Source organism: Homo sapiens, chromosome 22, assembly GCF_000001405.40.
Source record: "Homo sapiens chromosome 22, GRCh38.p14 Primary Assembly".
In the NCBI taxonomy this organism is placed as follows: domain Eukaryota; kingdom Metazoa; phylum Chordata; class Mammalia; order Primates; family Hominidae; genus Homo; species Homo sapiens.
In genome coordinates, this window is record NC_000022.11 from 31,056,807 (window position 1) to 31,083,442 (window position 26,636).

A 26,636-nucleotide genomic window follows, 5' to 3' on the forward strand; every position below is an offset into this window, starting at 1 on the left:
GCTGGTCTGCCCTAGATCTTTTCCCACAGATGATGTTCTGACTTTCCCCCCAAAAAGGTAGCTGTTCACCTTTCTCTGCCAGCAGCTCACAAACAGCTTGATGACCCCCCTCCAACATTCCAGGGCAGCTGGCTGGTTTTGCGGGCACCAAAGAGTTTTCTTTGGCTAAAGGTTCAGCCGATTAAAAAAGGGGGCCCCCATGCATTAAAGCTGGGGGTGGGGAACGGGCAGTCACAGAGTAGAGTAGGGGCTGAAGGTGTCATTAAAGCTCGGGTCGGGGGAGTGGAAATGGAATCTGCTAGCTGGCCTGAGACTAAAAGCCAGATCCCTGGATCCTTCCAGAGGACTATGAATGTGCTAGTCAGGCTCTGCCTTAATCCTAAAGCTGGAGAATTATCCAGACCCATGAAGAGCTGCCAGGAAGAAAAAATTCCTCCCCAGTGTGGTCTGCCCTACCCCCACCTTCCATGGTGCCCTGAGAAACTCCCTTTTCCTCTCTTGGCTTCAACATAATGGAGTTGGAGAATCCAAGACAGTGGATCAGAGCTCCTGAGATCATGGACTTAGACTCAGGTTCAGGCCCAGACTCTTCCTCTTGCTGGGCAAGGAGCTAGGGCAAGTCAATTTCAAGCCTTAGTTATCACATCTGTAAAATGGCACTAAGTTAGAGGGATATTGTCCAGATGACTGTGTCTGGTACATAGTAGCAATAAAAAAGACATTAGCTGGCCAGGCATGGTGGCTCACGCCTGTAATCCTAACAATTTGGGAGGCCAAGGAGGGCGGATCACTTGAGGCCAGGAGTTGGAGACCAGCCTGGCCAACACAGTGAAACCCTGTCTCTACTAAAAATACAAAAATTAGCTGGGCATAGTGGCTTGTGCCTGTAATCCCAGCTACATGGGAGGCTGAGGCAGGAGAATTGCTTGAACCTGGGAAGTGGAGGTTGAAGTGAGCCGAGATCAGGCCATTGCACTCCAGCCTGGGTGACAGAGCGAGATTCTGTCTCAAAAAAAGAGAAACATTAGCTAATATTACCCTCAGCATGGATACTCCTACCAGTCTGATGTTCTGTTTTAGGTACTTCGTACCATCATAACCTCATTGTTGGAGCACTCACTATGTTCCAGGTACTACGCTAAGTGCTTCACAAGCATTCTTTCATTTCATCCTCCCAACATCTCTCAAATAGGTACTAGCACTGTCCTCACTATTCAGGGGAGAAGTCTGCGGTTCAGAGGGGTGAAGTGATTCCTCTAAGACTGCATAACTTGTAAGTGGCAGAGCTAGGACCTGTCAGACTCTAAGCGCTTCATACCACACCTACAGGAAATATCTAGCAGCCAGTTCCATGCTCAGTTTCTTGAAGCATGAGATTCCAGGCCCCTAATATGGCATGTGACTGTGGGCAGTACAGAGGCCTCAATTCTCCCATCTGAACCATGGGGAAGGTCCCCCCGCCCTGAATCCCCTACAGGGCTGAGAGGAGGGCTCTGGAAACCTTGAAAAGGACTTTGTAGACTCTGAGCTGGGCACCCTCAAAGGCTTGGTTAGGAGGGAGACAAGAGAAAGAATTAATCCACTTCCCACCAAGGAAGCCAAGAGCTGAAGGAGAAATGGTCCGTGTCCTCCTCCAGGGCCTGCCCCTCAGCATGGTTCCTCCCTTTGTTAGGAGGGTTAAGAACTTGGCCAAGTCTCAGCTCCACTCATCTCTGGCTGTATGTTCTTTGTACTTCCCCTCTCTGAGTGTCGGGCTTCTCAACTGTGAAATGGGGGTGATAATGATAACAGCCTTACCAGGACTGTAGTAAGGACAAGCCTTGGCCCATTGGTTCATTGTCTTAGTCTGCTCCTGTTGTTATAACAAAATACCTCAGACTCAGTAATATATAAACAACAGAAATATGTTGCTCATAGTTCTAGAGGCTGAGAAATCCAAGAACAAGGTGTCAGTAGATTGGGTGTCAATGAGGGCCTGTTCCTCATAGATGACGTCTTCTATGTCTTTACATGGTAGAAGGGGTGAACAAACTCCCTCAGGCTTCTTTTATAAGGGCACTAATCCCATTTATAAGGATGGAGCTTCATGAAGTGATCGCCCCCAAAAGTCCCACCTCTTAATACTACCACATTGCAGATTACGTTTCAATATATAAATTGGAGGAGACACATTGAGACACATGGATATTGGTTGAATAATTATCTTTCTTTTTTCTTTTTTTTTTTTTGAGACAGAGTCTTACTCTGTTGCCTAGACTGGAGTGCAATGGCACGATCTTGGCTCACTGCAACCTCTACCTCCTGGATTCAAGTGATTCCTCTGTCTCAGCCTCCCAAGTGGCTGGGATTACAGATGCATGCCACCATGCCTGGCTAATTTTTGCATTACTAGTAGAGGCAGGGTTTCACCATGTTGGCCAGGCTGGTCTCAAACTCCTGACCTCAAGTGATCCGCCCACCTCGGCCTCCCAAAGAGCTGGGATTACAGGCGTGAGCCACCATGCCTGCCCTGAATAATTATCTTTTGACACCTGGTCTGCAATTCTCATGGAGTTTCCGGTCTGGAAGAAGAGTCTGTATGTAATGTGTTTGGCACAGGTAGGTGCCCAATGGGTGGGTAGATGGATGGATGGATGGATGGGTGGATGGATGAGATGAGTGACTTACTGCAGGTCTCACAGTTATAAAGTAACTCTTCCTGATAGCTCACACTGGCCACCAAAGACACATTAAGCACTGATTAGAGAGGTACTCCATGGACCAAATTACTTGAGCAAAGTCTTAGAATTAGGAATTATTGCAGCATGGATAAGAGGCATTCATTTTATGTTCTCTTTTAGTATTTTTCCCAACAAGATCCTGAGAAGGAGGATCTGGATGGAGGTTCTGCCAGAGCCCCCTGGAGCAGAGCCAGGAAGTTGAGTAGGGAGTAGCGCCCCACAGCCCATATGAGCAGGCAGGAGCAGGCCAAGCCTGAGGGTCGGGCCTCAGAGGCCTGGCCTGGCCGTATTTAGTTTTCAAGGCACTGGAAGGCTTCTCACCTCCTCTGCTGTCCAGGCACAGAAGCAAGGCCACCCACAGTTGCTGAGTCAGGGAGGCCCCTAGGGCAGGAACAGAGGCCCCACAGTGGGGTAACTTGAACACAGTGGTTCAGAGCCTGGTCTCTGTCAAGAAGATATGGTGCTGGGAACAGTGGTGTGTCCCTGTGGTTCGCGCTCCTCGGAAGGCTGAGGCAGGAGGATAAGCCTAGGGATTCTTGAGCCCAAGAGTTCTAGGCTGTAGTGTACTATATTGATCGAGTGTCTGTGCTAAGTTCAGCTTCAATATGGTGACCTCCTGTAAGCAGGGGTGTCTAAGGAGGGGTGAACAGGCCCAAGATGAAAATGGAGCAGGTCAAAACTGTGCTGATCAGTGGTGGGATTGTGACTGTGAATAGCCACTGCATTCCACCCTAGACAACATAGTGAGACTCTGTCTCTAAAAGTAAATAAATAGGCTGTGCGCAGTGGGCTCACGCCTGTAATCCCAGCACTTTAGGAGGCCAAGGCAGGCGGATCACTTGAGGTCAGGAGTTCAAGACCAGCCTGGCCGATATGGCGAAACCCTGTCTTTACTAAGAATATAAAAATTAGCTGGTCATGATGTCATGTGCCTGTGGTCCCAGCTACTCAGGAGGCTAAGGCAGGAGAATCACTTGAACCCGGGAGGCAGAGGTTGCAGTGAGCTGAGATCACATCACTGCACTGCAGCCTGGGCAATGAGTGAGACCCTATCTCAAAAAAAAAATTAATTAAATTAAATTTAAAAATGTAAATAAATAAGTAAATAAATAAATAAAAGCTGTGGGTTCAAATCCTGCTCAACAACCAATAGCTGTGTGCCTGGCCTACATATCACCTATCAGAGCCTTTGTTTTCTTTATTTGTAAAAACAACAACAAAAATGGCGGTAAAAACAAGCACCATTACTGAGTTGGTTATGTACAAGCCTCTGCTAAGCACCTTACCTGCATTATCTTATTTAATTGTCATCACAATAAACAAGTATTATTATTGTCCTCCTGAAACAAAATACATGAGAACGGTGTCTCTCATCCATGCTGCCGTAATTTCTAACCCAAGCCGCTGCTCATGCAGTCCCATCTACCTGGAGTGTATCTCTTTTTTTTTTGAGACGGAGTCTTGCTCTGTCTCCAGCTGGAGTGCAGTGGTGCAATCTTTGCTCACTGCAGCCTCTGCCTCCCGGGTTCCAGAGATTCTCCTGCCTCAACCTCCCGAGTAGCTGGGATTACAGGCAAGTGCCACCACACCTGGCTAATTTTTGTATTTTTAATAGAGTCGGGGTTTCGCCATGTTGGCCAGGCTGGTCTCAAACTCCTGTCTTCAGATGAGCCACCTACTTCAGCCTCCCAAAGTGCTAGGATTACAGGCATGAGCCACTGCACCCAGCCTGTAACCAACTCTTATGCAACCTTCAGTGTTCAGTGTAAGGTATCCAAAAAGTTACTTCCTGACTGTGAGACCTGGATTTCCAAATGAGGAAGCTGAGTCACACAGGGTGAGATCACATTCAAGTAAGAGACAGAGCTAGAGACCGGGTGCAGTGGCTCACACCTGTAATCCCAGCACTTTGGGAGGCTGAGGTGGGTGGATCACCTGAGCTCGCGAGTTCGAGACCAGCCTGATCAACATGGAGAAACCCTGTCTCTACTAAAAGTACAAAATTAGCTGGGCATGGTGGCGCATGCCTGTAATCCCAGCTACTCGGGAGGCCGAGGCAGGAGAATCGCTTGAACCTGGGAAGTGGATCCCATCTACTCGGGAGGCTGAGGCAGGAGAATCGCTTGACCCCAGAAGGTGGAGGTTGCCGTGAGCCGAGATCACGCCACTGCACTTTACCCTGGGCAACAAGAGTGAAACTCCGTCTCAAAAAAAAAAAAAAAAAAGACAGAGCTAGGAAGTGCTTACAACTTCCTCACGCTTACCTACATTTCAATTTCTGTTATTGAATCTTTTCCCCCTCAGATATACCCTATCAGCTTCTATTTTTATTTTTATTTTTATTTTTTGTGATGGAGTCTTGCTCTGTCGCTCAGGCTGGAGTGCAGTGGTGTGATCTTGGCTCACTGTAGCCTCCACCTCCCAGGTTCAAGTGATTCTTCTACCTCAGCCTCCTGAGTAGCTGGAATTACAGGCGGATGCAACCACACCGGGCTAATTTTTGTATTTTTAGTAGAGACGGGGTTTCACCATGTTGGCCGGGCTGGTCTGGAACTCCTGACCTCAAGTGATCCACCCGCCTCAGCTTCCCAAAGTGCTGGGATTACAGGCATGAACCACCACACCCGGCCCCTAGCAGCTTCTATAAAACAACACTGGGCACCTGTCCCATCCCCTGCTGCCTCCTTCAGCTCCAAATTGCCACCAAAGCCTTATTCAACCCTTTGCAACAGCCCTGTGCAAAAGGTAGGCTAGATATCATCCCCATGTCACAGACGGGGAAACTGAGGCTCAGAGAAATGAAGCAAGTTGCTTGAGGCCTTGCAACCAGCAAGAGGAGAAACCATAGGTGGACAACAGTGCTGTCTGACTCCCACCCCAGTGCTGTTTCCCCACCACAGCGAGCTGACCCTCGACCCCTCAACCTTCCCAGATGGGAGACTTCACCTCAACTCTCACACCTACACAGGTGATTAGGATTAAAGAGAAAATCAACATGAGATCAATTTGAAAGGAAGGGCCCTGCAGGACTAATAGGGTATTTTGCAAATAAGTAAAAAAATAAAAATAAAAAGTAAGCCTCCTTGAAAAATCGTAAAAGAACTGGGGGAATGAATAAGCTGTAACTGTTCTAAATCAGATCGTATTCCTACAAGACACAGGAGACCAGAACAGCTCCCTACAGCCATTAGCTCATCTCACTCATTTACAAGGCTCTCTGCTGAGAGCCAAGAGGGGGCCCCACCCAGAGGAATCATTACCTGGCCAGCACTTCACTGGGATTTCATGTCCCAGTAAAGTTTTTTCCTAAATTGGGGTACACAATTGCCAACATCTTGTTATTTGTCAAAGAATATTAAAAGGAAAAATAAATTGCTACTTTCTGCTGTTACCATCATCTCATAAAATTCAATAACAAGGACTAATCCCAGAATTTGGCAATTTTAAAAATTACCTATGTAAGTGACTCACTATGTTGTCCTAGTTTTCTCACTAGCCTTGGGCCAGTGAGAACTGTATCTAAGATGGGCATTTGGCAACCCTCAGATGAGTAGGAGAGAGAAAACATGTATGCAAATAACTCAGAGTAGCTCATTGCAACTTGGGATGAGAACCACATAAAACTCTTCTAATTACTTAATTTAAAAAAAAAGATTTATTGGAAGAGGGTTTTACCAGAAGATTTTTTGGATTCTGAGGGTTATGTAGTGACTAGGGATCAACCAAACAACCACTCTTGGCAAGGACAGAAAACTTCAAGAACAGGTGGAATCAGCCCATTTGCATGCACTCTCTCTCTCTCTTCTCTCTCTCTCTCCTCATTCTGTGTCTCTGCTTCTCTCTCTGCCTTAGCTGTCTTCTCACTCTAGTTACAGACAGGGTTCCTCCATGTGGCAGAGAACATGGTGGCTAATGTTACCAGAAAAACTCTGAACTAGGTACGGTGGCACGAGCCTGTAGTCCCAGCTACTTGGGAGGCTGAGGTGGGAGGATCGCTTGAGCCCAGGAGTTTGAGTCCAGTCTGGGCAACATAGCGAGTCCCTACCTCTAATTGGCGGTGGAGGGGGGGGCACTTTAGGCAAATTAAATTTAACAAAGTGTAACTGCAGAAAGAGCAATTCACAAATCCAGAGCCTTGCAGAACCAGGATAGGTTCACAGCAACTCAGAGACTGCCACAAGGGTCAGATTACATTTATGGACAGAAAAAGGAAAGTTACATACAGAAAACAGAAGTGGGGTACAGAAACAGCTAGATTGGTTACGGTTGGCATTATTGGTACACTGTTTGAACTGTGGTCGGCCTGCAATTGGCTGAAACTCAGCAGCTGTGACTGGATGAGACCTAGCCACTTGTTACAAGAGTACCTTACGGTCTGTTTACATACCTAATTAGATTACAGTTCACAATGTATGGAGAAACCTTTAGACCCAAATTAATATACAACAGGTAAGGAAGAAGCTTTAGGTTAAACTTAACTCAGTTTCAGTGAGAAAGAAAAAAGAAAGCAACTGCCACAAAAACAGGGAAGGTGTCTGATTGGCCCAGCTGGGTCAGATGTCTATCTCTGGACCAATCAGCTGTGGGGTCTGTAACAACATGGCAGCTCCCATGAGAACGGCATGGTTGGAGTCAGAAGAGGAAGAAGCAGAACTGGGCAGGTGAGCTGGGAAGAGAATACCATAGATGTCCACTATGGAGATGATAAATGCCCTAATAGATGCGCACAAAAAATGTCATGGGCATTTAGGGGATGAAGACACAATTTCTAGCTGTGCAACTGTGGTGATCAGTCAGAGCTTCTTGGAAGAGGTGGCATTCGAGCTGGGTCTTGAAGCCGAGAATCATCTGGAACGTACAGAGATTCTAAATGCCACCTCACATTAGAAAAGAAAGATGATCCCTGGTAATGGAGAAGATAGCATCCGAAAGAATTAAATATGAATGTCTCACTTTGTCAAGATTTCATAGGTTTTTTATTTTTACAGATGGTGTGTCTCGCTCTCCCTCCCAGACTGGAGTGCAGTGCGATCATAGCTCATTGCAGCCTTGAACTCCTGGGCTCAAGCGGCCCTCCAGCCCCAGCCTCCAGAGTAGCTGGGACTACAGGTGCACACCACCACACCTAGCTATAGTTTTCAAAATTTAGATATAATTCATATATAAATTATATTTTATAGTTATTTTGGTGTTTAATTTTGAAATAATTTTAGACTTACAGAAACGTTGCAAAAATAGTTCAGAGTTATCCTAAACTCTTCATTTCCTACACCTTCACCTAGCTTTCCCTGATAGGAACATCTTACCTCACCTTAGTACAATTATCAGAACCAGGAAATTAACACTGGTACAGTAACCTACATACCTTATTTGAATTTTAGCTGTTTTCCTTTTGATCTAATCCAAGGTCCAACATTGCATTTAGTTGTAATGTCTTCTTAGTCTTCTCTAATCTATGACAGCTCCTCAGCCTCTCGCTTTTTTTCTCAAATGACCCTGACACGTACTGTTCAGTCATTTTATAGAATATCCCTCAATTTGAATGTCTGATTTTTTTTTTGGTGATTAGATTGAGCTTATGCACTTTTGGCAAGAATATCACAGAAGTAACGTTATGCCCTTCTTAGTGCATCAGATCAGGGGCTACTTTCTGTTGATATGACTTATTACTGGGCATGTTAACACTGATCATGTGGTTAAAGAGGTTATCTGCTGGGTTTCTCTTTTATAATTTTATAATAAGTGTCCTTTTGTAATTAGTAATTATCTTGTGGGGAGATAATAAGACCATGCAAAAATGTAAATTTCTTGACATTTACGGTATGTTTGTTTGTTTTTTTGAAATGAAATCTCCTTCTGTCACCCAGGGTGGAGTGCAGTGGTGCCATTTCGGCTCACTGCAACCTCTGCCTCTTGGGTTCAAGCGATTCTCCTGCCTCAGCCTTCCGAGTAGCTGGGATTACAGGGGCCCACCACCATGCCTGGCTAATTTTTGTATTTTTTAGTAGAGACGTGGTTTCACCATGTTGGCCAGGCTGGTCTCAAACTCCTGACCTCAGGTGATTCGCCCACCTCGGCCTCCCAAAGTGTTGGGATTACAGACGTGAGCCACCGCGCCTGGCCTACATTTTTTTTTTTAAGTGCTGTCAAATGCATGCCGTCTACTTTTCTTCAGTAAATGTCAACTCTTTACCCATTATGTGCCAGTCCCTGTGGGGTGTGCCAAGCAGAAAAAGCACTGATCTAAGATGTGTGGCTCAGTTATGTGTAGATCCATGACCTTGCTGGGCTTTAGGATCCTTATCTATAAAATGGATATCATTATATCTTACCAGTAAGAACTGCTGAGGATAAAGGCAGACCGTACTTGTGAACGTGTTCTGTAATACAAACTAGGGTTGTTCATTCTCCTTCTGCAGTGCTCAGCTCTGGCCTCTCCTCTCCTGTTTGCATTTCCCTTTTCCTTCCTGCCTGTGTTCAGGCCTGCAGACTTCTGTCTGTCCTCCCTGGTCTAACTCCCTTATCCTACTTGCCAAGCCTTACTGTGATGTCATTTAATAAATTTTGGAGACACAAGGAGCGCCTCATAGAGATGGACAATTTCCTTCAGTAGTCTCCTGCTGTTTTTAGAGTTGCCTCCAGGTGCCTGGGCCTGTGGGTGTTGGGCAGGAGAACCTTCCTCCTATGGCAGAAATAAGTGGGAGAAGTAGGGATTGCCTTCCTCCAATAATAATGCTTTGGCCCTAAAAAGGAAACTCTTGAACCCCATAGAATATTTTATTTTATTTTATTTTATTTTTGAGACAGAGTCTCGCTCTGTCGCCCAGGCTGGAGTACAGTTGCACGATCTTGGCTCACGCAACCTCTACCTCCCAGATTCAAGCAATTCTTGTGCCTCAGCCTCCCAAGTAGCTGGGACTACAGTGATGCACCACCACGCCTGGCTAATTTTTGTATCTTTAGTAGAGATGGGGTTTCACTGTGTTACCATGCTGGTGTCGAACTCCTGGCTTCAAGTGATCCGCCCTCCTTGGCCTCCCAAAGTGCTGGGATTACAGGCGTGAGCCACCGTGCCCAGCCAAACCCCATAGAATATTGAAGAAGCCCAAATGGATACTTGTGTCTTACTGAGTGGACACACTTTAAAGTTACTTCAAAACATGAAAGGATGACTTACTCCATATCAAACCTCCTAATTAATCCAACAGTAATTTTTTTTATTTTGTTTTATTTTATTTTATTTTTTGAGACAGGGTCTCACTCTGTTGCCCAGGCTGGAGTGCAGTGGCACAATCACAGCTCACTGCAGCCTCAACCTTTTAGGCTCAAGTGATCCTCCCAACTCAGTTTCCTGAGTAGCTGGGACTGCAGGTGTACGCCACCATGCCTGGCTAACTTTTGTATTTTTTTGTAAAGACAGAGTTTTGCCATGTTGCCGAGGCCGCTCTCGAACTCCTAAGCTCAAGCAATCCACCCACCTCGTCCTGCCAAAGAGCTGGGATTACAGGTGTGAGCCACCACACCTGGCCTGCAATTTTAATCTAAGGCAGGATTTACTTATTTATTTAGAGACAGAGTCTGTCTCTGTTGCCCAGGCTGGAGTGCAGTGGTGTGATCATGACTCACTGCAAGCTTAAACTCCTGGGCTAAAACAATCTTCCTACTTCAGCCTCTTGAGTAGCTGGGACTACAGGCACACACCACCATGACCAGAAAGGTTTTTTTTTTTTTTGACACGGAGTCTTGCTCTGTCGCCAGGCTGGAGTGCAGTGGCATGATCTTGGCTCGCTGCAATCTCCGCCTCCCAGGTTCAAGCAATTCTCCTGCCTCAGCCTCCTGAGTAGCTGGGACTACAGGTGCGTGCCACCACACCCAGCTAACTTTTGTATTTTTAGTAGAGATGGGGTTTCACCATGTTGGCCAGGATGATCTTGATCTCTTGACCTCGTGATCCTCCCCCTTAGGCCTCCCAAAGTGCTGGGATTACAGGCATAAGCCACCACGCCCGGCGCACCTGCTTCTTCTTCTTTTTTTTTTTTTTTTTTTTGAGACGAGTCCCCCTCTGTTGCCCAGGCTGGAGTGCAGTGGCACGATCTTGGCTCACTGCAAGCTCTGCCTCCCGGGTTCACGCCATTCTCCTGCCTCAGCCTCCTGAGTAGCTGGGACTACAGGCGCCTGCCACCATGCCCAGTTAATTTTTTTTTTGTATTTTTAGTAGAGACAGGGTTTCACCATGTTAGCCGGGATGGTCTCGATCTCCTGACCTTGTGATCCGCCTGCCTCAGCCTCCTGAAGTGCTGGGATTACAGTCATGAGCCACCGCGCCTGGCCCACACCTGCTTCTTAAAGGACCAAGTCCTGGCTGGGCTCGGTGGCTCATGCCTATAATCCCAGCACTTTGGGAGGCCAAGGTGGGCAGATCCCTTGAGTCCAAGAGTTCAAGACCAGCCTGGGCATAGCGAAATCTCATCTCTACAAACCATTAAAAAATGTTTTGGCTGGGCACAGTGGCTCACATTTGTAATCCCAGCAGTTTGGGAGGCCGAGGCGGGTGGATCACCTGAAGTCAGGAGTTTGAGACCAACGGGCCAATATGGTGAAACCCCATCTCTACTAAAAATCCAAAATTTAGCCGGGCGTGGTGGTGGACACCTGTAATCCCAGCTACTCGGGAGGCTGAGGAAGGAGAATCACTTGAACCTGGGAGGCGGAGATTGCAGTCAGCCAAGACCGCGCCATTGCACTCTAGCCTGGGTGACAAGAGTGAAACTCCATCTCAAAAAAAAAAAAATGTTTTAAAGGGACCAAGTCCTTTTAGGGGAGCTTCTGATCATTTGAATCTCCAATAACAGAAGAGGTTTTCAAATGTTACCCCGGGGATTCCTCATTGCCTGCTCCCAGTATTTTCCAAGAAAGACCTGAGGCTCCTTTCTGAGCTTCATTCCCTTGTTCTCCTCCCAGCCCCTCAGCTGTCTTTTGTACCAATTAGGTAGTTATTAATTGCTCCCTAATTGCAAATTGGCTGCCTCCTTACTGGCTCCCACCCATGCTGGCTGGCTGACCAAGGGGTCACATGCATCCTTCAGGGAAAGGTGTTTTGTGAATCCAGTGGTTCATTTGTTCCACACGTGTGTTGAGCCCCTTCGTTGACGCCAGATCCTTTCTAGGTCCTGGGGACCGTGTTGAGCGAGACAAACCCAAGTCCCTGGCTTCTCAGAGCTCACAGTCTAGCAGGAGACAAACAACAAAAAAATTAATCATTTCCGATCGTCAGTGCTGTGATGGGGAGTAATTACAGTACAGAGTAATTTTGGGGAGCTTCAGATACGTGCTCTGGGAAGACCTTTCTAAGGAGGTGATGTGTGAGTTAAGATCTGAATGGTAATCTGGAGCCAGCCAGAGTGAAGATGTGGTTGAAGAGCACAGTCCCAGGGGAGAAGAAAGCAAAGGCAGAGGCCAGGGGAGAGAAAGCAGCATGGCCTCTCTCAGGGGCATTCATCTTATCTATGAAGCCCTAAGCGATTCAGAAGTCAAACATCAGGTTGGGGCTAGTTGTAAGGTTTAGGGCAAAACACCCCTCCTACTCCCTGTTGTTAGAAGACCGGAGGCGGGGTTTGCCCCCACCTGGCCCCGCTCCAGAAGGAGGGGTTATTATACGTCTGATTGAATCAACTTCCAGGATCCTTATTGGTCCTTGGTGGTAACTAGGGCGCTCTCTTCCAGGATCCTTATTGGTCCTTGGTGGTAATTAGGCCACTCTCGCTTCAAAGTCCCAAATTCAGGCGCCCCGCTGGGGACTAGAGCGACCGTTCCCCACCTCACCCACCCCAAGCTCAGAGGTTGGAGAGAACTGCCTCCCCAAAGGAACCCAGACCCAGGCTTGAGACTTTGCAAAGAGACACAAGATGGGGATTGCCATGTGAAGTTTCCAGATTTTTTAAAATGTTAGAACGATGAATTCGAAAAGCTTTAAAACACTGCACAGGCCAAACAACAAGTCTATGGGCAAGACCTGGCCAGCTGGCCTGGGTGCGGTGGGGCTTGGTGAACGCCTAGAGGTAGGGACGAGGGAGAGAAGGAGTCAGGAAGGATGCTAACTGCATCCTGGATTCTGGGACACCCATGCCCTGGCAGAGATGTGCCCTAAGAGGAACGAACTCACGGCCACAGGCACAGATTGAGCACCTAACTGTGTGCATGGCTCTGTGCTAGGATGGGGGACACAAAACACTTCATAGGACTGCACCCTCGCTCAGGGCTGGGTGGGCCGACCTCAGGAAACCTGGGTTCCAGCCCTGACTTGCTCTCCTATAATTGCTGTGTGAACTTGGGTTGATTCATCATCTCTCTGGGATTCAGCACACAGCCTTTGTTGACATTAGATTAACTAAATCCAGTAAGGGAAGATTTTGAAGGGCCTCTGGGTGTCTGGATAGGGAATCTGGGCTGGGTCTAATAGGAAGTAGGAACCACCCCAGGTTCTTGAGCAGGGGAGTGACATGTTGAAGAGGAAAGTGAAGCAGGCCACCTGTGCAGAGACACACATCATCCAGGTGTGGGGTAGTGAGGACAGCAACTGAAGCGTATGCAAATCAGATCTGATCACCTCTAGCTCAAAAACCTTCCATGGCTCCCTGCAGCCCTCACATGAAAGTCCTTTCCTCTTACTATGGGCCATGGGCAGGGCCAGCTTCACGTAATGAAGGGTCGGTGTAATGCTCTGCTGTCACTATCTTGAAATACTTCAGAATTTTTGAACAAGGAGCTCCGTTTTCTCATTTTGCACCAGGCCCTGCAAATTGTGAAGGTTCCCACAGGGGCCTTTCAGTCTGGGCCTTTCCCCTCTCCCCATCCAAACCCCACTTCTCCCTTACCCTTCATACTTCACTCACGTTGGTCTTCCATCAGTTTCTGGAGATTGTTCCTGCCTCGGGACATTTGCGTAGTCTGTTCCCCTTGCCTGGAACACCCCCACCCCCACGTCGAGACCAACTTAGTTTTTTGTTCAACAATTTCTTATCTTCCAGACTTGAGCATAATTATCTCCTGAGAGATAACTCCTCTGACCTCCCAGAACTACCTGTTCAAAACAAAACTTTAAAAATTATTTAAGCCAGCCGGGCACGATGGCTCATGCCTGTAATCCCAGCACTTTGGGAGGCCCAGGTGGGTGGATCACTTGAGGTCAGGGGTTCAAGACCAGCCTGGCCAACATCTTGAAACCCCGTCTCTACTAAAAATACAAAAATTAACCGGGTGTGGTGGCAGGAGCCTGTAATCCCAGCTACTTGGGAGGCTGAGGCAGGAGGATTGCTTGAACCCGGGAAGCAGAGGTTGCAGTGAGCTGAGATCACGCCATTGCACTCCAGCCTGGGTGACAGAGTGAAACTCTGTCTCAAAAAAAAAAAAAAAAAAGAAAAGAAAACGATTTAAGCCTGAGTGCAGTGGCTCACTCCTGTAATCCCAATACTTTGGGAGGCAAGGCAGGAGTATTGCTGAGGCCAGGAATTCCAGACCAGTCTGGGCAACACAGCAAGATCCCATCTGTACAAAAAATAAGAAAATTAGCCAGACATGGTGGTGTGTGCCTGTAGTCCCAGCTACTTTGGTGGCTGAGGCAGGAGGATTGCTTGCGCCCAGGAGTTCAAGGCTTCAGTGAGCCATGATTGCGCCACTGCACTCCTACCTGTGCAACAGAGCTACACCCTGTCTCAAAAAAAAAAAAAAAAGCAATAATGGAGGCATTTCAGGCATGTGTCAGCAGCCATAGGTGTTCAGGGGCTTTGTGCTTATGAAGGTTTGTTCAGTAACAAATATTCAGCTGGAGCGGGCATCATGGCTCACACCTGTAATCCTAGCACTTCGGGAGGCTGAGGCAGGAGGATTGCTTGAGCCCAGGAGTTTGAGACCAGCTGGGCAACAAAGTGAGACCTGATCTCTACAAAAAATAAAATACATAAAATTAGTTGGGCATAGTGGCATGCACCGGCTGAGGTGGGAGGATCGCTTGAGCCCAGGAGGTCGAGGCTGCAGTGAGCTGCGATCACGCCATTGCACTCCAGCCTGAGAGACAGAGTGAGACCCTGTCTCAAAAAATTAAAAACTTAATTAATTAAAAAAAATTCAACTGGGGAAATAGTTCTAGCTCTCTCTTTCTCTCTCTCTCTCTCTTTTTTTTTTTTTTTTGGAGGCAGAGTTTCACTCTGATACCCAATCTGGAGTGCAGTGGCATGATCTCGGCTCACTGCAACCTCCACCTTCCAGGCTCAAGGGATTCTCCCACCTCAGCCTCCCAAGTGGCTGGGACTATAGGTGCATGCCACCACACCCAGCTCATTTTTGTATTTTTTGTAGAGATGGGGTTTTGCCATGTTGCCCAGGCTGGTCTCGAACTCCTGGACTCAAGCGATCCTCCCACCTCAGCCCCCCAAAGTGCTGGGATTACAGGCATAAGCCACCACACTTAGCCATATTGCCATCTCTTAATGAAGTAAATAAAACCATTTACACCACAAGAGATAGAGGGAAGGGATAGGATTTGTCCAAAACATAATAAATCCCCTTGGCCAAATTCATGGACCCTGGCAGGGTAAGATCAGAGATAGCATCATTTCTGCCTATGTGGCTGACATTCATTATGTAAGTCCCATGTACCAGGATCCCCATCCCATGCAAGCTCCGTGAATGATCACTCCCAACCTTATAAGGTTGGAAGTATTAGCTCCCCATTTTGTGGATGAGGAAACTGAGGCCTAGAGAAATTAAGTAACTTGCCAAATGTCACACAGTAAAGAATTGACAGAGTTGGGATTCGCACCTAGATCTGTCCAACTCCAGATCTCCCTGAGCCCTTCACTACTGCAAAATAGCTACTCAACTGGCTTGCTGTATGATTTGGGGCAAGTTCCTCAACCTTTCTGAGTCTCAGATTCTTTTTTTCTTTTTCTTTTTTTGAGATGGAATTTCCCTCTTGTCACCCAGGCTGGAGGGCAATGCACGATCTCAGTTCACTGCAACGTCCGCCTTCCGGGTTCAAACCATTTTCCTGCCTCAGCCTCCCAAGTAGCTGGGATTACAGGTGCCCGCCACCACGCCTGGCTAATTTTTGTATTTTTAGTACAGACAGGGTTTCACCATCTTGGCCAGGCTAGTCTCGAACTCCTGACCTCTGGTGATCTGCCCGCCTCAGCCCCCCAGAGTGCTGGGATTACAGGCATGAGCCACTGTGCCCAGCCTCTTTTTCTTTTTTTTAAGACAAGGTCTTACTCTGTCACCCAGGCTGGAATGCAGTGGGCAATCTCTGCTTACTGCAGCCTCAACCTCCTAGGCTCAAGTGATCCTCCCACTTCAGCCTCCCAAGTAGCCGGGACTACAGGCGTGCGGCACCAGGACCAGTTAAGCTGAGCCTCAAATTCTTTACCTATAACTTGTCCCTTATTTAAGCTAACACATGGTAGGTGCTGAAGTTGATTCTCTCTCTCTCTCTTTTTTTTTTTTTTTTTTTTTGAGACAGGGTCTTGCTCTGTCACCCAGGCTAGAGTGCAATGGCATGATCTCGGTTCAGTGTAGCCTCAACCTCCTGAGCTCAAGCGATCCTCCTGCCTCAGCTTCCCAGAGTAGTGGGATTACAGGCATGCACCACTGTTGATTCTTTATAGATGTTAATTCTCTGCTTAACACACATGCCCCTCCAACTCCCACCACACATACAGACACAGACACACATACACACGCACGCACGCATGCACGCATGCACGCCAGCCCCACAACAGGAGGAATGTAACGGAAGCAATGCTTTGTGTTCTGTAACCTGTTTCCTTTTCCTGGACACACAGGAAGGTCATGTTCTCATTTTTCCTGCAGTTAGTAGAGTCACGTGACTACATAAAGGCCAGTGAAATTATACGTGACCCCTGCGCAAAGGCAGTTAAGTGTGGATGTGCCTCCTTTGATTTTCTGATTCCCTTTCCACATGCAGAGGATTCAGGAATAGATTCCAGGGAAAGCCTGGGGTGGAGGCAGGATTCGGGGGCAAGGTCACTGCTTGGAAAAGAGCTCCCTGGGAGAGCCCCAACCTGTATCAGACTTTGCAGGGGTGAGAAATAAACTCTGATTGGGTTAAACCACTGAGATATTTGGTTTGTTACAGCAGTCAGCATTAATTACACTGAATAAAACAGTGTATCAGTTATCAATTGCCACAACAATGCTACATAACAAACCACCCCAAAACTTAGTGCCTTAAAACAGCAACCGTTTTTTTAGCTCAAGATTTCATGGATTGGCACTTTAGCCTGGGCTCAGCTAAAGATTTTTCTGGTCTCAGTTGGGCTTACTCATGTATCTGTGGTCAGCTATTGGATTAGCTGGTGACTGACTAGGACAGCTTCAGCTAGGATAACTAGTCCCTGTTCCAGTGGTCTCTTAGGCAGGATAGCCCAGGCTTGTTCACATAACAGCTGCGAGAGTTCCAAGAGAATAAGTGGAATCTCTTAAGGCCCAATCTCTTAACACCCAGGCTTCGAACTGGCAATGCCACTTCCGTATATTCTATTGGCCAAAAATAGTCACATGCCTGCCTGGGCATGGTGGCTCACACCTGTGTAATTCCAGCACTTTGGGAGGCTGAGGTGGACGGATTACTTGAAACCAGGAGTTTGAGACCAGCCTGGACAACATGGGGAAACTCCATCTCTATAAAAATTAGTCAGGTGTGGTGGTGAGTGCCTGTAGTCCCAGCTACTCGGGAGGCTGAGGTGAGAGGATCACCTGAGCCCAGACAGGTCAAGGCTGTAGTGTGCCATGATCGCACCACTGCACTCCAGCTTGGGTGACAGAGATCCTGTCTTAAAAAATAAAAAAGAGCTCAGCCTCTAGAATCACAGCCCTGGGCTTAAGTCCTGACTCACTTGCTATTGATTTTGGGCAAATGCCTTCCCCTCCCTGAGACTGACATTTCCCTTCTATAAAACAGGTGCTGGGGCTGGGCATGGTGGCTCACACCTGTAATCCCAGCACTTTGGGAGGCCAAGAAGGGCGGATCACCTGAGGTCAGGAGTTCAAGACTAGCCTGGACAACATGGTGAAATCCTGTCTCTACTAAAAATATATAACTTAGCCAGGCGTGGTGGTGCACACCAGTAATCCTAGCTACTCACTACTCGGGAGGCTGAGGCAAGAGAATCGCTTGAACCCAGGAAGCGGAGGTTGCAGTGAGCTGAGATTGTGCCATTGCACTCCAGCCTGGGTGACAAGAGTGAAACTGTCTCAAAAAACAACAAAAACAACAACAACAACAACAACAAAACACAGGTGCTGGAAGAGAGGAGTCCTAACGTTGGGGGCTATTGTGAGAATTGACTGAGGGAATGCACCGTGGAAACGTGTGCTGTAAATTACCTATTTTATTACACCCAAGGTGGGCTTAATAGCTGTCAGGGAGTGTTAGTATTATCTCAACCAAACCCCCAATTTACAGAGGAGAAAACAAGAGCCTCAGGCAGGTGATGTGACTTGCCAAGGCTGCATAGCTAGGGAGCAGTGATGTCCCCACCGTACTCAAGTTTGTCTGTTTCCAGAAGCTAAGGTCTTAGCCTCTCTACAGTTAGAAAGTCCTAGGTTTGAGTCTCGACTCTGTCCATTATAGCTGTGTGACCTTGGGCAAGTCACTTTTCTCTCTGGGCCTCATTTTTTTTCTTCGTCTAAAGAAATTAGCATCTGTCTCATAATGCCATGGGGAATCAATGGGAAAATACAAAGAAAGTGCTTAGCAGAGTGCCAAGGAGGGACAGTGTGCATGCTCAGCAATTGAAGGCTGCCAAGTTCCTGTTATCATCAGGGGCAGTGTTCCATCCATCAAAAGGGCTAAGAATAGTCTTAGCCCGGCCAGGCGCGGTGTAATCCCAGCATTTTGGGAGTCCGAGGCAGGTGGATCACCTCAGTTCAGGAGTTCAAGACCAGCCTGGCCAACATGTCAAAACCCCGTCTCTACTGAAAATACAAAAATTAGCCAGGCGTGGTGACGGGCCCTTGTAATCCCAGCTACTTGGGAGGCTGAGGCAGGAGAATCACTTGAAGCCGGGAGGCAGGGGTTGCAGTGAGCCAAGATTGCGCCACTGCACTCTAGTCTGGGTGACAGAGCGAGACTCTGTCTTAAAAAAAAAAAAAAAAAGGAATAGTCTTAGCCAGTGGGGGTAGGGTGAGGAATAAGTAAGTTACTGTGGGCTAAGCTTTAGCCCAGTGCCCAGCACATATTATAAACTTCATAAGCAGTTGCTATTTTAAAGGGTTTTTGTTTTGTTTTGTTTTGTTTTTGTTTTTGTTTTTGAGACAAGGCCTCGCTCTGTCGCCCAGGCTGGAATGCAGTACTTTTAAAGTTCTGAACCCTGTTGGAGGCCAATATGAGACCATGGGGGACCCCAGGCCCCAACTGGCAGTGGCTCCAGGCACTGCCTCCGTGCCATTTGGCTATTATTAGGCCCGGCGTCCTCATCTCAAATCCAGATGGGGATCGAGAAGGGCGGGTAGGGCAGGGCCTGGCTGGCGGAAGGCTGGGAACACGGCTTGGAGGCTGGGTTTGGGTTTGGGCCCCACCCTGCCTGCCTTCCCTTGCTTGCAGCTGGTCCAGCCGCCACGTCTACACTTGGCTCTGAGGTTGTTGCAGAGCACTCCCTCCCACCGTGGCCGCCTCCTCTGGGAAGATGCAGAGCCCTTCTGCAGCCTCAGCACTTTTCTCCCTGCCCCAGAGAGGCCAGGCCTGCGTGGAAACTCTGAATTGGACACTGCGTGCCTTCAGAACCGGCAAAGGAGCCATCCACCCCGCTGTCTACAGGTCTTCATGCCTCCAGTGAGGCTTACTGGATCTGCTGAGGGGGAAGGGCCTATATACCTGGGTTCAAATCCCTTCGCTACCACCAACATGCAGTGTCAACTTGGACAAATGACTTCCCCTCTCTGAGCCTCAGTTTCTTTGCCCATAAAAGGGACAGAACATTAGCATCTGCTTTATAGGGCTGTGGTGATGGTTACATGAGTGCATGGTATGCCATAGGCACTCAATATGTGTCAGTTATTTCATGCTTAAGTGTGCCAGGCCCTGAGGAGGAAACAAAGTTTTGAGAGGTTGAGAATCTGGGATGCAGAATGGCTCTGCTCCTGATTTGCTACACTACCTGAAGCCTGTCCCTTGTCCTCTCTGGGACTCAGTTACCTATTTGAACCATAAGGTGGGTATCTAGGACTCTGTGATGCCAAGATTCAGGTGCTATGTTCAGAAGTAGAGAGAAGGGTTTGCTGGGATCCCACACTGACAGGTTGGTAAAATATTCATTCTCGGACTGGACTCTGGAGCCAAAATACCCTCAGCCCCTGAGCTGCTCCAGATACTCCCTACTCTGCCAGTCCAGAGCTGAACCTGGAAGAATCTAGACCCTTCTTGTTACAGTTTTTTGCCCTAGGAGGGCCTGAAGGAGGCGAGTCAAACCCCCTCATTTTACAGATGGGCAGACTGAGGCCCAGGTCTCCCCAGTGCTCAGGCGTCATCCAAGTGGAGCTTCCAAATGGTGGATGGTAGAATATGGTGATTAAGAACAAATGTTCTGGCCGGGCGCAGTGGCTCACGCCTGTAATCCTAGCACTTTGGAAGGTCAAGGCAGGCGGATTTCTTGAACCCAGGAGTTCGAGACTAGCCCCGGCAACATAGGGAGACCCTTGTCTCTACAAAAAATAAAAAAATTAGCCAGGCATGGTGGCACGTGTCTGTAGTCCCACTGTGAGCCTGGGAGGTCAAGGCTGCAGTGAGCCATGGTTGTGCCACTCCACTCCAGCCTGGGCGACAGAGTGAGACTCTGTCTCAAAAACAAAACAAAACAAAAAAAAAAACAACAAAAGAACGAGGGTTCTGAGCCTGTCTCCTTATCTGTATAATGGTGGTCCTACCTCACAGGACTCAAGCTGTGAAGGTCATAGTGGTAACAAAATTGCCACACATGTAGTATAAGCATGATCAGGAGCCAGTGTCCAACCCATCAGGTAGCAATTACATAGTGTCCCACCATGAGCCTAGACCCCCACTCCCTGCGCCCAGGCATCAGGGACTCCCAGAAGTCTAAAGAGGTCCAGGCTGGCACATCCAGAACTCTCTCCTTCCTGTTCCAGCCCCTTGCCTCTCCTTTGTCTGTGAGGCTGGGTCTCCTGGAATTCACTGCTGCCCAGTGGGCATCTGAGGCCCCTTCTCCTCCTGCAGGGCCAGAAGTTTGCCTGGCACTGTTGCCCAGAGAACACAGCGGCTGGATGACATCCTGGAGATGATGGCCTTGCCAAACTGGTTTCCCAGCAGGTCCTCAGTCCCACTCCGAGGGCTGCTGGCCATGACCTAGGACGCATCCAGTTCTGCACATAAGGAGGAAGGTCATACCCCTTGGATCCAGCCAACCCCAACAAGAACCATCCACCTCTAGGGGCTCCATTCTCCAGCCTCACCTGCCTGTCTGTTGCCCAACAAGGTCGTCACAATCCTACTTCCGTTCCTTTGCTAATGCTGTTCCCGTCTCCAGAATGACAGTGCTGTCCTGGGGAGAGAGGCTTAGAGAGCCCAAGGCACAGCTCCTCCATTGTGCATATGAGCAAGTTGAAGCTCCAAGAGGGCCAACCCTTACCTAGGGTTGGAGCCAGGGGTAAGACACCCATCACCCTTCTTGCCTCCTGACCCAAGGCCTGGGCTTTCTCTGAAGGACCCTGACTGGGTGGAGGGTTAGCCAGGGTGACTTAGGGATGCAACACAGACAGCTTGGTAAAATAGTCATTCTCAGACTTGAGCTCTGGAGCAAAATATTACCCCTAGCCTCTGAGCTGCTCCAGCCACTTCCCATTCTGCCTTTCCAGGGTTGAACCTGGAAGAACCTAGAGTAGACCCTTTCTGTGACAGCCCCTTGCCCTAGGAAGGCTTGAAGCAGACCAGTCTAATCACCTCATTTTACAGGGGGCAGGCTGAGGCCCAGGCCTCTCTGGTGCCCACAAGATACATTCATCCTGCTCATCTGGCATTCAGAATCCTTGGCAAAGAGAACCACCCACATTTCCTGCTCCGCCCACAGCCTATCCTCCTCCTTTTCCCAGACTATTGGTCTTTGCTCACACTGTTCCTCTGCCACAAATGCCCTTTCATGCCTTTCCCCCTCTTCTATGTGGGATGAATTTTAAAAATTAGCTGGGCGTGGTGGTGTGTGCCTGTAGTCCTAGCCTCTTGGGAGGCTGAGATGGAAGGATTGCTTGAGCCAGGAGTTTGAGGCCATGGTAAGCTGTGATCATGCGACTGCACTCCAGCCTGTGGGACACAGCAAGACCCTGTCTCCAAAAAAAATAAAATAAAATAAAAACAAGTGTGACACACAGTTTATACACCACTTCCCTAAGAAGTCTTCCAGAGCTTCCCCCATCCTAGTGGCAGCAAAGTGGAGGGAAGGGGCTTCAGCATCAGGCAGAATTCCACTTTAGTCTGAATGCCTTTACTAGGCCAAGGTGCCTTCACCTCCCTGAGCTTCAGCTTCCTCTGTCGAATCAGAGTGTACCTATCTTGCACAGTGGTCACCTGGCAGTAGTGGGAGCCCCACGTCTGACATGCAACAGGTGTTCAGCAAATGCTGGGGCCCTCGTCACGGGATGTTTACTCTTTCCTCGGCTGTAGCTGTAAACTTCCCTAGCACTGTACCGGACTGCCCTTTGATCTCTAGATCACCCCCACTCCCTTGCAGAGAGGAAGACAGAGGCAGGCGGGTATGTCTGGAGGTGGACCCAGGCACTAAGGGCTTGAAGGGGCAGGACCCACACATCCCTTCCATAGGGCCAAGGGCTAGTGAGCGCATGTGCCAGACAGTAAATCCAAGCATGGAGGAACTCACCTGTACCATTCCTCCTAGCCTACAGTAGGGCAGGGAGAAAGGAGGGCATTAGCACAAAGCAGGCCATTCATTGGAGCTGGTGACCGCCATTCAGGCAGGCCCTGAAAATCAGAGGTGGCCTAGGTGTGCCCTGCATGAAGGGGAGGTCCCAAGGGACGCGTGAATTTTGAAGTATTCAGAATTGGTCTTAGAGGGCGCCTGACCCTCGTTCTGGATAATAACATGGCATCTCGCCCAGGTAGAGAAAGCCTAGGACCTTGAAATATGTCCTCCGAAGTGAGCTCTGTTTGCCTCTCCTGCTGTGTAGCATTGACAAGTCGCTTTCTTCTGTGCCTTGATTTTCTTTTTTCTTTTTTTGAGACAGAATCTTGCTCTGTCGCTTAGGCTGGAGTGCAGTGGCACAATCTCGGCTCACTGCAACCTCTGCCTCCAGGTTCAAGTGATTCTACTGCCTCAGCCTCCCAAGTAGCTGGGATTACAGGTGCATGCCACTTGCCCGACTAATTTTTGTATTTTTAGTAGAGACGGGGTTTTTGCCGTGTTGGCCAGGCTGGTCTCGAACTCCTGACCTTGGGTGATCCACCTGCCTTGGCATCCCAAAGTGCTGGGATTACAGGCATGAGCCACCGCACCTGGCCCGTGCCTTGGTTTTCTGATGTGTAAAATGGGACCACTTCTCAGGGGTGTGGGGATGAAATGAAATGACACATGGAAAAGACTCTCAGTGTGGAGACTGGGCCTTTCCTTAGATGGGGGCTGGGGGGTGTCACAGAGGACCTGAACCGGGGCTCTTCTGGGTTAACAGGCTGAAACCACCTCCCCAGAATCCCACATTATAGTGGTTAAAAGCAGGGTCTGGACTCAGAAGGTGCTGGGTATGAATCACAGCTTTACTACTTATCAGCTGTTGTCCTCATCTGTAAAATGGGGCAATAGTCATGGTCTCATGTGCTTGTTATGGGCATTATATGCCTGGTACATGGCAAGTACAAAATAAATGATTTGTTATTGTTTTTATTTGACAGGACTCCAGACCCCATCCTCCCAACTCCACCCACTTTAGTCTCCATGGAGACCCAAGGGCGGCTTTAGGGCCTCTGGCACTGAAGATGGAATAGCTTTGCCTTGTGGATCTGACCTCCTGGGTACCCTGGCTGATTCCTTGTTTGGTCTTGGACATGTCAGCTCTCTCTGGGCCTCAATTTCCCCCTTTTGCTGAATGACAGCCTGGACTCCATATTCCCTATTTAGGACTCCAGCGCTCCTAAAGGCAGACTCTCAGGGCTTGGAAGGTAGAAGCATGCTACAAGAAGGCAATGTCTGTTCAAAGGTGTGTGGGCTGGGGGAGGCGTGCTGTGTGATTGATTCTGCTCCACCTGAGATGGTCCCGGCACTCCAACACAGGGTCAAGGTGCTGCCAGTCACTCAGTCCCTGCTCTGAGGTGGCTCAGACCAGGTGTCCCGAAAGCAGCCTAGGGACGGCGGCCAAGCTTAAACACTGACGCGAGAAAGGGGTGGAGTCGAGGGAGGGGACGTGGTCTCAGGAACAAAGAGGAGGGCGGAGAGGGGCTGTCCTGAAGGCTCTGAGACTCCTACGACCCCAGGAAACTTACCTCGGCTCGGGGCGCCCCCCCCGACTTGGCGCAGAGCCTGCGTCCCCCTGCCGATGCCCACCCGACTCGCTAAAGCCACCGAGGCAGACGACCCCAAGACTCCCAATTTCCGACCTCCCTGGCCCGCGAGGGGCGGGGCCTTCCTCTCGGGGCGTGGCCGTCAAATTGAATTTTCCCAATGGGGCACGAGAGTGGGAGGTACCCAATCGAGGGTTGGCTGGCGCGTCGGGGCAGGGCGGGGCCAGCCGGGCTGCTGGCGCGGCTGGACGGGCAGCTCTCCGCAGAATCCAGGGGACGGTTGCTGAGCGGGCCTGGGACAGCGGGTCGCGGCACCTCCGGCCTGCGCGTGTCTAATCCGTCTGTCGGGTCCCGAAAGAGCTAAGCCGAGCCTGCGCCGGACGGGTGGGCTGGACTGAGAGGTGGGTGTGCGGACCTCGGGGGGGATCCTGGTGCTGCCCCAACGTGTCCGGGGGTGGAACCCGGATGTCTAGACAGGAGTTCTGGAACGTCCAGACCTGGGAGCCCCCACCCATACGAGAGGTCTAAGCCATGGGATAAAGTTATGAGACTGTTGGGGGAAGACGCCCCCGGATTCCTAAGAGACTCCACGCCCCACAGGGGCGCTAGTCTGTGGCGGCAGAAACCCTGGGGAAGCTGCCACAGAATCCTGAGGCCCCTCACAATGTCCGGCGACCCCAGACTGTGTGACAGGGAGATTGGAGAAGAGCAGCGGCAGGGATCTTCTTATAATCCCATGGGTGTCCTAGATTAGGCATTAGGGTCAGCTGCCCCATAGAAGAACAGACATGGGGGGAATCAGAATGTCCGCAGAACCTAAGGCTGGTGACCACTGGACAGTCTTGAAGAGGTTTAACCCAGACAGAGTAACTAGGTAAGAGGCAAGGATCCTAACAGGCAGAGATTGGGAGGTTGACACCTCTGAGCCTACCAGGATGGGAGGGGGAACAAGCAGTGACTTGAACAGGCTGGGACCCACACACCCCAACTGTGTGGAGCGGTAACCCTCACCCCCCACCCATGCACCGTATGGGGTGACTTCCCAAGTGACTGTTCTGAAGAGAGGGAAGGGATGATTGAAAGATGAATCAACAGGAGGTGGGGGGCAGGCCTGGGGCCACACATTAGTCAGTCACCATACATTAACTAAGCATCCACAGTGTGCCAGACCAGGGCCCCTCAAATTCCAGACAGACATTAGTTGGGGCTACAGGAGGAAGGAGAGATCTGCGCTGGGAGGCTGGGCCAGGATTTAGGGGTCCATTTTGATGGGCAGCACTGGGGCAAGATGGGGCTCTTGCCTCTGTCACTGAGAGTGTTCCAGGCCCTTGAGGGCACTTTGGAAGGGAGCTTCGGAAGCCGGAGATGACGAAGATTTTGATTACATCCTTCTCTGCCCTCTAAGTCTTTGGCTTCCTCCTTGCTCAGTGACAAATCCTTGGCCCTCTCCAATCTTCTCAGTTTGCCTGAAATCCAGGGGTTGGGCAGGTCAGCTTCTGAAAGCCCTTCCAGGTGGGGAATTGAATTCTGTATGAATTGGCAGGAGGTGCTGGGTGCCTGGACACCTGGCTTCAGGAGGTCTGGACAGCAGAGCTGGCTCCAAGAATCGGAAGACACAGTGTACCTTCCTATACCTGGGGGAATGACAGTGGTGGTGGCAGCAAGAACTACGGGTTCAGCCCACAGCCAGAAGCTGAGCCTGCGGAGTGGGTGGGGGCTGGGTAGGCCCTGTGGATGGGTGGGTGGGGCAGGAAACTGGAGACTGGAGTGCACCCCCTGGTGGTAAGCACAGCTTGGGTGGGTCTTGCCAGGCCCTGGCTTCTCAATCCAGGTCCCTGCCCTCCCTGTTTTGAGGTTTAGACAGGATGAGAGTCCATCCCAGGCCACACAGCAGACTGGCGGCCAAGCTGGCAGGGCTGGAACCAGAGACCCCCTACCCTGGGTTTGGTGAGTTTTCCAGCAAACCACCCTAGGGCAGAGGGCAGCTTCCAGCCAGGAGCCACATTATAGGATGGGACAGTAATGGACGCTCCTAGGTTAGAGAGGGAAAGTAAGGCACAGAGCCTAAGTGCCTGTGGTTTCTGGAAGCCCCAGCATGCCTGATTCATGTCTGTCCCCTGCAGAATTCTCTGAGCTGGTGACAGGTGCCACAGGCACTGGGGATCTCACCAGAAAGGAACCGACGGAGCTAGGGGCCAGCGAGATGGCGGACGAGGCCTTAGCTGGGCTGGATGAGGGAGCCCTTCGGAAGCTGGTAAGTGGCCCCATCACCCACTGTGGGGACAGGAAAGCCAAGCCAGAGAGGCAGGGTCAATCCAGGGTACCTCTCAGCTGACAGGAAGAAGTGATGGGGGAAAGGTCAGGAGGAGGGGGACATGGGAACAGGG

General features: G+C 49.6%; 1 protein-coding gene and 1 pseudogene across 32 annotated transcripts in view, besides 1 other annotated feature; both read left to right on the top strand.

The window, feature by feature from the left end:
• Window positions 3,183–3,479, top strand: RN7SL633P (RNA, 7SL, cytoplasmic 633, pseudogene; annotated as a pseudogene).
• SMTN (smoothelin) overlaps window positions 7,312–26,636 on the top strand; it is a 40,507-nt gene continuing 21,182 nt past the window's right edge. For 14 of the 32 annotated variants that reach the window (XM_017028913.2, XM_017028917.2, XM_011530336.3 and 11 more), the window contains exons 1-3: window positions 24,512–24,650; window positions 26,110–26,196; window positions 26,373–26,503. In XM_017028913.2, the coding sequence (XP_016884402.1) occupies window positions 26,115–26,196; window positions 26,373–26,503 (213 nt within the window). In that variant the 5' untranslated portion in view covers window positions 24,512–24,650; window positions 26,110–26,114. Of the gene's footprint in view, window positions 7,382–20,964; window positions 21,224–23,643; window positions 23,953–24,511; window positions 24,651–26,053; window positions 26,197–26,372; window positions 26,504–26,636 lie in introns of those variants that run through there. The other 18 variants (NR_168473.1, NR_168475.1, NR_168474.1 and 15 more) reach the window with 8 other exon arrangements.
• Window positions 24,394–24,553: a silencer, noted in NCBI's record as "silent region_13621". NCBI's record gives its function as "represses an Ori minimal core promoter by ATAC-STARR-seq in GM12878 lymphoblastoid cells {active_cell/tissue: GM12878}" and the evidence as "EXISTENCE:reporter gene assay evidence [ECO:0000049][PMID:35858748]".